Genomic DNA, 11,916 nt, shown 5'->3' on the forward strand with positions numbered 1-11,916 from the left:
AGTGATCCTCCTGCCTCAGTCACCCCTTCTTAAAAACAGAGTAATTTTGTGCTTCTGTTTAAATAACACATCCAGAAGAGGTGAGCCCATGGAGGCAGAAAGCCGATGGCATTGCCAGCGGTGGAAAGAGGGGAAATGGGGAGACAGTGCTGTGGGCACGGGCTTTCCTTTTGGGGTGATGAAAACATATTGGAACTAGACAGAGGTGGCGGTGGCACAGCATTGTGAGACATTGTTCCACGGAACGGTTCAACTTAAAATGACTAATTTTATGTTACGTGAATTTAACCTTAAAACAACAACCACAATCATAATAATAATAATTTTAAAACAGAACAACAACCACCCCCCACAGATGAAAAGTTTCCAGCTCTACCAGGCCTGTACAGGGAGTCCTTGCACCAAGCTACTCCTGTGGCACCCCAGGCTCCAAGGAACAAAGTTTGAGAACCACACATTAAATCACTACAGCACATCAAGCTTCCTTCTATAGTACTTTCCAGTATCATCTGCCTATAAAGTGTGCATGAAAGTCTGAAGAGATTTCTCAGGCTCTTCTAACTTATTCAAAGATCATTTTAGAAGTGAAAATAGCCTTAAGGATAACTTTTGGAGAATTTCAGTTTATTTGTGAGTTAATGGCAGCCAGGATATGGTAAAAGAGCATGTTGGTCAAAGGACCTGAGTATGAATTCTAACTCCATGTACAAGAAACAGCTTCTCAGAGCCTCTGTTAGCTGTATTTTCTACGCAATGGCAATAAGACTGCCTTAACAGTCATATGAGAACCAAATGAGATAGGATGCCGGGGCAGTGGCTCACATTCTGTAATCCCAGCACTTTGGAAGACAGAGCAGGGAGGATCGTTTAAGTCCAGGAGTTCGAGACACACCTGGGCAACATAGCGAGACCCCATCTCTACAAAAATTTAAAAATTAGCTGGACATGGTGGTGTGCGCCTGTAGCCCCAGCTACTCAGAAAGGTGAGGTGGGAGGATCATTTGAGCCCGGGAGGTCGAGGTTGCAGTGAGTTGCATGCCACTGCACTTCAGCCTGGGTGACAGAGTGAGACTCTGTCAAAAAAAAAAAAAGAACTAAGTGAGATAGGAATTGGAAACAAGCCCCAGGACATAAAGAATGCCCATGAAGCTGGGCGTGGCGGCTCACGCCTATAATCCCAGCATTTTGGGAGGCCGAGGCGGGCAGATCACCTGAGGTCAGGAGTTTGAGACCAGCCTGGCCAACATGGTGAAACCCCATCTCTACTAAAACTAGAAAAATTTGCTGGGGGTGTGGCATGCACCGGGTGTGGCATGCCCCTGTAATCCCAGCTACTCAGGAGGCTGAAGCAAGAGAATCACTTGAACCCAGGAGGTGGAGGTTGCAATGAGCTGATACCACGCCATTGCACTCCCAGCCTGGGTGACAAAAGCAAAACTCTGTCTCAAAAAAAAAAAAAAAAAAAAAAAGAATGCACATGAAATTTTTCCTTTACAGGAAAAAAAAAGGACAATTCATGCAATAGGTACAGCTATAAAAAAATAAAAACCTGATGTTGAGGAAGAGCATTTATCCATGCGAAAAGATTCATAAAATATTGCAGAGTGAAAGAAAAAGCAGACTTCAAAATACCCTGCTGAATGCACCATTAATTTTGTAAATATGTATGTCTTGTCATCTTACACAAATATATAATTTTATAATTGGATGGAATTTGGTAATTATTCATCAATTTGCAGTATGTATAATTTATGTGTGTATGTGTGGGTGTATACATACATTTAAAACCTAAGATTATTTTCAAAATATTAGGAGTGGTTATTCCTGGGTAGCAGGATGTAAGAGAGATGGTGAATTTTTGTGTTTTCTCTGGGTTTTTTTTTTTTCAAACTGTTTGCATCGAGTATGAATTGTTTATAATAGAAGGTGAAGGAGAATTACCCAGTGGGTACACCTGCCTTTGTCTCAGACGTTTGGCAGTATTCCTGAATCTGTGCAACCTACTTTATAGTTTAGCACTTTGAATTATATATAAACTGAACCATCTGGAAAGTGTTTTTGTATTAGATTATTCAGCTGTGAAAACTGGCTAAAGTAAAACAGACATATCTTAACACGTGTACATACAAGAAAGGTTATGCTGTCAGAGTCCGATTTGAAGAAATTTGCTTTGTTTGGTTTTTTGGTTTGGCTTAGTTTAGCTGAACCTGGTTTTTTTTGTCTGGTCTTTTTTTTTTTTTTTTTTAAGAGATGAGGTCTCGATCTGTTGCTCAGGCTGGAGTGCAGTGGCACAGTCATAGCTCACTGCAGCCTCAACCTCCTGGGCTCAAGAGATTCTCCCACCTCAGACTCCCAATTAGCTGGGACTACAGGCACACGCCACCCTACCCGGTTAATTTTGCTATTTGTTTTTAAAGATGGGACCTCACCATGTTGCCCAGGCTGTATAAGGCATGTTTAGACAATGATTTCAAGGACTTTTTCTGTAGAGGGAAGGTGAGAAATAGGTTGGTAGTTGGGAAAGAAAGTAAAGTCCAAAGAGGGTATTTTCCCTTCTATTTTAAAAGTAGTTAAAGACACACTTTTGTCATGGGTGTATTTTGAATTTTTTAAATTTTCGTGGGTGCAAAGTAGTTGTATATATTTATGGGGTAGTGTATATATTTATGGAGCAGTCATGGGTGTATTTTGGAGACACTTCTGGATGTAATAAGATTCTGTTACTGATAATTCATTTTCTGTCTTCCTGCACTCCTCACTAATATGTCCCAGGGTGTTATGGGTTAAATCACGTCCTTCCAAAAATTCATAGGTTTAAGTCCTAACCCCCAGGACCTGAGAAAAGGACCATATTTGGAAACAGGGTCCTTGCAAATCTAATTAGTAAGGTGAGGTCACACTGGAGGAGGGTGAGCCCTACATCAGTATGACTGATGACCTTATAAAAAGAGGGAAGATGCTAGGCACAGTGGCTCATGCCTGTAATCCCAGCACTTTGGGAAGCCAAGGAGGGAGAATTGCTTGAGGCTGGGAGTTCGAGACCAGCCTGGGCAACATAGCCAGACCCAGTCTCTATAAAAACTAAAAATTAACCTGGCAAGGTGACACATGCCTGTAGTCCCAACTACTCAGGAAGCTGAAGTGAGAGGGTCGCTTGATCCCAGGAGTTCAAGGTTGCAGTGTGCTACAATTATGCCGCTGCACTCCAGCACGAGTAACAGAGCAAGACCCTATCTCTTTAAAACATTTAAATTAGAAAAAAAAAAAAAGCCTGGGCACGGTGGCTCATGCCTGTAGTCCCAGCACTTTGGGAGGCCAAGGCGGGCAGATCACTTGAGGCCAGGAGTCCAAACTCCGTCTCTACTAAAAATACAAAAAATTAACCAGGCGTGGTGATGCATGCCTGTAATCTCAGCTACTCAGGAGGCTGAGGCAGGAGAATCGCTTGAACCCAGGAGACAGAGGCTGCAGTGAGCCGAGATCGTGCCATTGCACTCCAGCCTGGGCAACAGAGTGAGACTCCATCTCACAAAAAAAAAAACAACAAAAGAAAGTAAAGAAAGAAAGAGAGGGAGGGAGGGAGGGAGGGAGGGAGGGAGGGAGGGAAGGAAGGAAGGGAAAAGAAGGAAAAAGAAGGAACAAGAAACAAGACAGTCCCTGGCAAACCAGGACAACTGTTCTACTTAGAAGGCAAGACCTGTTTAGAGTCCAAATTGAAACATGGATGGACAGAGAAGCCCTGCTGCAGCAGGATTGGCTCTGGAAGCCAGAAAGGATACTGCCCCCAAGAGGCTCTATTTTGATCCCTTTGTGTTAATAACAGAGGAGGGAGCCCTTGAGACACAGCTTCTTCCGAAGGCTACCTTTGTCCACTCCCCACTGTAGCGGAATCTCTTGCTTATTTTCCAGAAAAACCATCCCATTCAACAATGAATGACAGCAAAGGAATAGGCTTGACCTCCACACAAAGGTGCCATAATAAAAAGGACATGGAAGAACAGCTTAACTTTCCAACACACGAGAAAACATCCCAGGCAAATGAAGCGCAAAGCAGCTGAAAGCCGAGACCCAAGATTTCAACGTGAGCTAAAACGAATTAAGAAAATAATTGAATTTTTGAAAGAACAACACAAACGTGAAATATAAGAGCTTAGAGATTATGAAAAAGAAATTGACAGTGCTCAGAGAAAAAATTGGAAATCATTTTAGAAACAAAGGGCAAATTACAGGGAAGACACAGGAGAACAGACAAGGAAAGCCTGGCAAAGGATGTTTCATGAAGAAAGAAGAAGGTCAAACAAAATGAAATAGGTGAAGACAAACTTTTGTTGTTGTTTTTCAGAGATGGTCTCACTCTGTTGCCCAGGCTGGAGTGTAGTGGTGCGATCATAGCTCCCTGCAGCCTCAAGTGTTAAGCCATCCTAGAGCCTCAGCCTCCCAAGCAGCTAGGACTACAAGCATGCACCACCATGCCTGGCTAATTGTTTTAATTTTTTGCAGAGATGGGGGTGTCACTATGTTGTCCAGGCTGGTCTCGAACTCCTGGTTTCAAGCAATCCTCCTGCCTCAGTCTGAAGATTTTTTTTCATTTTGTTTTGAGGCAGGGTCTCACTCTGTCACCCAGGCTGGAGTTGCAGTGGTGCAATCTCGGGGCGCTGCAACCTCCACCTCTCAGGTTTAAGTGATCGTCCCACCTCAGCCTCCTGAGTAGCTGGGATTGCAGGTGTGCACCACCATGCCCTGCTAAGTTTTTTTGTTTTTTTTTTTTAAGCGATGGGGTCTCACTCTGTTGCCCAGGCTGGAGTGCAGTGGCGTGATCTCAGCTCAAGGCAGCCTCTGCCTCCTAGATTCAGGTTATTCTCCTGCCTCAGCCTCCTGAGTAGCTGGGACTTCAGAAGTGTACCATCATAACTGGCTAATTTTTGTATTTTTTTTGTAGAGACAGGGTGTTGCCACGTTGCCCAAGCTGGTCTCCAACTCCTGGGCTCAAGCGATCAGCCCACCTCGGCCTCCCAAAGTGCTGGAATTATAGGCATGGGCCACTGTGCCTGGCTTAAGACATTTTTTTGTTAAGTAGTTGAAAATAGGAGATTTGCAGTTCACAGAAGATGGTGTAGACTCAACTCTGCCTCTTCTTCCTACAAAATACAAGTATAAGTCCTGGACATAAAACAGTAGTCTATAAGTGGGCTCTGGAAAGTGGAAAGAGGAAGGCAGACTGCCTAGGGATCTCAGGACTGAAGGAACAAGAGAGTGTCCCCACATCTCACAGTGCCCCACCCAGTGACTGGTGACAATCCAAACCTCATGTGTCCCCTGACCCCCAACCTAACAGCAGAAGACAAACTAGGTAGACACGTTCCTCCCCTGGATCAAAAGGAAGTCCTGGCCGGGCGTAGAGGCTCACGCCTGTAATCCCAGCACTTTGGGAGGCTGAGGCAGGTGGATCACCTGAGGTCAGGAGTTCAAGACTAGCCTGGCCAACATGGTGAAACCCCGTCTCTACTAAAAATACAAAAAATAATAATAATAATTAGCCAGGCATGGTGGCAGATGCCTGTAATCCCAGCTACTCTGGAGGCTGAGGCAGGAGAATCACTTGAACCTGGGAGGTGGAGGTTTCAGTGAGCCAAGGTCATGCCACTGCACTCCAGCCTGGGCAACAGAGTGAGACTCCATCTCAAAAAAAAAAAAAAAAAAAAAAAAAAGATTTCCTGCCAACAACACCACATCGCCCTAGCACCAGCAGGGGGATCCCATCTACAACAAACTGCCCAGCCTGGGAAGTGCTCTTTATCCCAGTGGAGGCTCCTTTCTCCCACTTAGGACACCAAATGGTCCAGTCAAGACTGGGAAATTATCATTCGTCCCTGCACACTCTCTTCCTCCACATAAAGATAGCTTGTGTGCCAATGGCCCCAGTGGGGTTGGGAGCCTGTCAACAACAAAAGATTCAAGCTGGAGGGGTGCCCTTCATCCCCACTGGGCCAGAGAGCTCCTTCACCCATAGAGAGGTGCCAGGTGACCCAACCAGGGAAAGTGCCTTCCACTTCCGCATGTGGCACCAGCAGAGATCAGTGGGAACCCCCACAGCACCAGATGAGCCAAGCAGGCCAAAACAGCACAGCATAGGCTCTGAAAACTGAATTGTTACCGGGCAAGGTAGCCACAAAGTCGGCTAAATCTAAACAGGTTGACTCTCTGCTAAAATAGAAACTTCAAGGCCTGGTGTGATGGCTCACGTCTGTAATCCCAGCACTTTGGGAGGGTAAGGCAGGTGGATCACCAGGTCAGGAGTTTGAGACTAGCATGGCCAATATGGTGAAACCCCATCTCTACTAAAAATACAAGACAAAAAAAATTGGCCAGCCGTGGTGGCGCATGCCTGTAGTCCCAGCTACTCAGGAGGCTGAGGCAGAAGAATCACTTGAACCTGGGAGGGAGAGGTTGCAGGAGATTGCACCACTGCACTCCAGCCTGGGTGACAGAGCGAGATTCTGTCTCAAAAAAAAAAAAAAAAAAGAGAGAGAGAGAAAGAAATTTCAAATAAAACCCAGTACTTCTTAATATAACAGCCAAAATTTCCAGGATAAAATTTTTAAGTTATTTATCATCCCAAGAACCAGGAAAATCACAAGATTAAGAAAAGATCACCCACAGTTGTCAATGCTAACATGAATCAGATGTTGGAATTGTCTGATTTTAAAGATGCCATCATTAAAATGCTATAACGAGCAGTTACAAATGCCCTTCAGACAAATGAAAAAAAAATGAAACAATTAAGGCCAGTCACAGTGGCTCACGCCTATAATCCAGGCACTTTGGGAGGTCAAGGCAGGGAGATCACGTGAGGTCAGGAGTTCAAGACCAGCCTGGCCAACATGGTGAAACTGAGTCTCTTCTAAAAATACAAAAATTAGCTGGGCATGGTGGCGCATGGCTGTAATCCCAATTACTCAGGAGGCTAAGGTAAGAGAATTGCTTGAACCCAGGAGGTGAAGGTTGGAGTGAGCCAGGATCATGCCACTGCACTCTAGCCTGGCACAAAAAAAATAAATAAAATTTAAAAAAAGAAGTTTTTACACTACACTTGAAGTGGTAGAACATTGATAGCAATAGACTGTAAGTTACATTGGCATACTGTAATACCTAGAGAATCACTAAGAAACTATACCAAGCAATACACTCAAAGCACTATAAATAAATCAAGATGGAATTCTAAAAATGTTCAAGTAGCCCAAAGGTGGGCAAGAAAAGAAGCACAGAGAAACAAGAAACAGAAGAAACCAATAAAAAACAAATAACAAATTGGCAGACCTAAACCCTACCATATTAATAATTACCTTAAATATAAATGGCTTAAGAATGCCAAGTAGAAGATAAAGATTGGCAGAGTGGAATTTTTTTTAAATCACAACCCAGGTCAGGCACGGTGGCTCATGCCTGTAATCCTAGCACTTTGAAAGACTGAGGCAGGCAGATTGCTTGAGCCTAGGAATTTGAGACCACCCTGGCAACATGGCAAATCCTAGCCTCTCTGAAAAATAACAAAAAAAAATTAGCTGGGCATGGTGGCATGCACCTGCAGTCCTAGCTACTCAGGAGGCTGAGGTGAGAGGATCGCTTGAGCCCAGGAGGCTACGGTTGCAGTGAACCAAGATTGTGCCACTGCACTCCGGCCTGGGCAACAGAACAAGACCCTGTCTCAAAAAAAAAAATCACAACCCAATGATATGCTGTCAACAAGAAATTTACTCCAAATACAATGACACACAGACATTGAAAGTAAAAGGATAAAATCATGCAAATATTAATTTAAAAAGCAGGAGTAGCTACACTAATGTCAGATAAAGTATACTTCAAAACAAACTTACTAAAGACAAAAAGGGCCCTTACATAGTTATTTTTTTAAATCCACCAGGAAGACGTAATGATCCTAAATGTGTATGCACCAAACAACAGAGTGTCAAAATACCTGAAGCAAAAGCTGAAAGAGCTGAAAGGTAAAATAGATAAATACACAATTATAGTCAGGAACTTCAACACTAACTACACTCTCAACAATTGACAGAACCAAGAGATAGAAAATCAGCAAGATTATGGCAGAACTGAACAATACAAGCAACCAATAGAATCTAATAGGCATGTATAGAACATTCTACCCAACAACAGAATACACATATTTTTCAAACACAGAGAACCTAACAGGATAGGCCATATCCTGACCTGTGTCACAGAACAAACCCCAACAAATTTAAGAGCTGAAATGATACCAAGTATGTTCTCCAACCACAATGAGCTCAAACTAGAAATTAATAATAGAAAGGTAACAGGAAAATCTCTGAACACTTGGAAATTAAATAACATACATCTAAATAATCCATGTGTCAAAGAGAAAGTCTCAAAGGAAATAAAAAATAGAGAGAAGTGAATGAAAATGAAAATGCAACATAGCAAAATATGTGAGAAACAGTTAAAGCAGTCCAGCGAGGGAATTTTTAACACTAAATGCTTCCATTAGAAGAGAAAAAATCTAAAATTAATAATACACATCCAAAAATGAAATCTCCAGCTCCAGAGAGTTTCACTACAGAATACTACCAAGCATTTAAAGGCAAATTAGCACCAATTTTATACAACATTGTCTAAAAAATAAGGTAGGAAGAAAGACTTCCAAATTCATTGTACACTATCCAGTAGCACCGTCTGGAATTGTGCAGTGCACAGCTTGCGCAACCATATATGAATGTAGACCATTGTCTACAAAGCCCAACATGATCTGGCCTTGCTTCCCAACTTCAAGTCTACTTTCCTGGTACAATGAGTTATTTTCTGTTTCTTCAAGGAGGCTATGTTTTCTCCTACCTCTGTGCCTCTGTGGTTAGAGTTATTAGTTCCATTTAACAAATGAGAAAAGTAAGGTTCCAAAAGGGTAAGTAACCTGCCCAAGTCTGTATGTCTTGCTGGTCTCTGGAAGTGACCAGTGAGTAACAAACCTGCAATGTTCAAGAGTCAGAGTAGATGTCAGAATATCTGTTACTCATCTGTGATGAGAATCAAAATGGTCAGATCAGAAATATTTCTTTCTGTCTGTTGTATCTCCTTGCATGAGAGGAAAGATGCTATGGAATTGCATTGAGAAATCATTGAAGAAAGAACTGAAATTCCCAAGGCCAACATGAGCAGCATGTTCTCCCCATTGTGCAGATCAGAAGGCAATGGGGCAAGCTCCAAATCTCAACAAGAGGTCTCATTGGGTCAAAGGTCCAGCAGCCATCCTGATGTTTCCATCCCGTGATGGAGATACTCTTGCCGGTGGGACCCAGACAGCTAGGCTACCATGACCAAACCATGCACATCCATCTCCATACTAAGAAGACCTTGACGCCGGGTGCGGTGGCTCATGCCTGTAATCCCAGCACTTTGAGAGGCCGAGGTGGGTGGATCACCTGAGGTCAGGAGTTCAAGACCAGCCTGGCTAACATGGTAAAACCCCGTTTCTACTAAAAATACAAAAAAATTAGCTGGGCGTGGTGGTGCACACCTGTAGCTACTCTGAGGCAGGAGAATCGCTTGAACCCAGGAGGCAGAGGTTGCAGTGAGCCAAGATAGCACCATTGCACTCCAGCCTGGGTGACAGAGCAAGACTCTGTCTCAAAAAAAAAAAAAAAAAATGCTCTTCTGATGTACTTTACCACCAGGTCAAGCTGAAGCTCCCAAGAAGACATGCCATTGCAGGTTGAGAAGCGCTCAGACAGAAGAGGTCAGACACCCTCCAATCCTGCCGTCCTGGAGCAATGTGGTGCCCTGCTGGTGACCTTGATTCTCTCTGCTCCAGCCCATCTCTAGCCCATCAGAATGATACTCTCTCTTGTCAAAAGGAAGTCTCAGCAGGGGACAGTGGCTCACACCTGTAATCCCAGCACTTTGGGAGGCCAAGATGGGAGGATCACCAGGAGTTCAAGACCAACCTGGACAACATACGAGACCCTCATCTCTACAAATAAATAAAAAATTAGGCAGGTATGGTGGTGCACACCTGTAGTCACAGCTACTTGGGAGGCTGAGGCAGGAGGATCGCTTGAGCCCGGGAGTGTGAGGCTGCAGTGAGCCGTGATTGCACCACTGCACTCCAGCTGGAGTGACAGCAGGATCCTGTCTCAAAAAAAAAAAAACAAGAAAGAAAAAAAGACAATCCCATTGCTCTCATTTTCTAATTCTAATTCTTCAAAGGTCAACGCCTCCCAGCAGCCCCAAAATATCTACAGCACCTCTATAGGTCAGTGTTGTATTCTATATTATTGAATTATTCTGTAGGTTGGTGTTGTTACTCCACACTGATTATAGTGTTTCTGTGGAGGGGCATTATAGTAGGAGGCTAGTTCCTGTGAATGCTTCTACTCTATAGCTGCCTGATCGATTCTCAATGAAGTCGCCACCTCCAAATGTTTTCTGAGCTTTTTTTTTTTTTTTGAATGGTTACAGACAAGGTCTTACTCTGTTGCCCAGGCTGGAGTCCAGTGGCACAATCATAGCTCACAGCAGTCTCGACTTCCCAGGCTCAGGCAATCCTCCTGCCTCAGTTTCCTGAGCAGCTGAGACTACAGGCATGTGTCATCATGCCTGGCTAATTTCAGCTCTTTTTATTTTGGTTTGGCTCTGGTTTTGGTTTTGAGACAGGGTCTCGCGCTGTCTCCCAGGCTGGAGTGCAGTGGCATAATCCTAGCTCACAACAACCTTGACCTCCTGGACTCAAGCAGTTCTCCTGCCTCAGCCCTCCAAGTAGCTAGGACTACAGGCACATACCACCACACCCAGCTAAAGTTTCTTTTCTTTTTTTTTTTTTTTTTTTTTTGAGACAGAGTCTTGCTCTGTCGCCCAGGCTAGAGTGCAGTGGCGCCATCTCGGCTCACCGCAACCTCTGCCTCCTGGGTTCAAGCAATTCTCTGCCTCAGCCTCCCGACTAGCTGGGATTATAGGCACCAGCCACCATGCCTGGCTAACGTTTGTATTTTTAGTAGAGATGGGTTTCACCATCTTGGCCAGGCTGGTCTCGAACTCCTGACCTCATGATCCACCCGCGTCGGCCTCCCAAAGTGCTGGGATTACAGGCGTGAGCCACCATGCCTGCCCATGTTTTTATTTTTTTGAAGAGATGGAGTCTGGCTATGTTACCCAGACTAATCTTGAACCCCTAGACTCAAGCGATCCTCCTGCCTGGGCCTCCCAAAATGCTGGGATTACAGGTGTGAGCCACCACACCTGCCTCCTTTCTGAGCTTTATAGTCAAGAGACCACGATCATCTCCCACCCACATCCCTCCAGCACTCCTTACGCATCCGTTTGTCTTTGTATCTCAGAACGCATCTTTACACTGCATTTCACAGTTCCATTTTCCTAGCAGGTTCAGAGCTCATGCCAGACGCTGTGGAAGGATTGTTTTTTGACTCTCTAATACTGTGGAAGAAAAAGAGATCTTCCAGATATCAGAGTTCTCCTGACAGCTGAAGAAGTGATGGATGAGCTGGGGTCTCAATTCATCAGAACATCAAGGTAGGAGGCTGGTGCCTGCCACTCACTCTTCTCACCTGAGTCGTTCCGACGTGTAAGATCACGCTCCTATTTGGAAGCAGAAAACACTTGTCAAAGCTGGATGCACAGGTCCATTCATCCAAAAGTGGTATGAAAGGGTGCAGATGGAATGGTGAATTGGGCAGTTTGCTCAAGGTGAACTTGAACAGGAAACAAAAGAGGCTGTAGACAGGTGCACATGAAAATCGAAGTCTCATTCTTGGTTTTCTTCCCTGTACTTAGGAGGTCTATGGTGGCAAAAAAAAAATCCTGGTGGGCGCTGCAGGTGTGACACTTCACCTTCTTATTACTTGTGGCCTGCAGTTACTCTGACGCGCACCCTGA

The 11,916-nt window shown here is 44.3% G+C and overlaps 1 long non-coding RNA gene across 1 annotated transcript in view; it reads left to right on the plus strand.

Moving 5' to 3' along the window:
• LOC105375133 (uncharacterized) overlaps positions 1-11,544 on the plus strand; it is a 35,973-nt gene extending 24,429 nt beyond the window's left edge. The window contains exon 3 of the long non-coding RNA XR_926999.3: positions 11,405-11,544. This is a non-coding gene — a long non-coding RNA (uncharacterized LOC105375133). The remainder of the gene's footprint in view (positions 1-11,404) is intronic.
• Positions 11,545-11,916: the final 372 nt, after the last annotated feature.

Source organism: Homo sapiens, chromosome 7 (assembly GCF_000001405.40).
Source record: "Homo sapiens chromosome 7, GRCh38.p14 Primary Assembly".
Taxonomy (NCBI): Eukaryota; Metazoa; Chordata; class Mammalia; order Primates; family Hominidae; genus Homo; species Homo sapiens.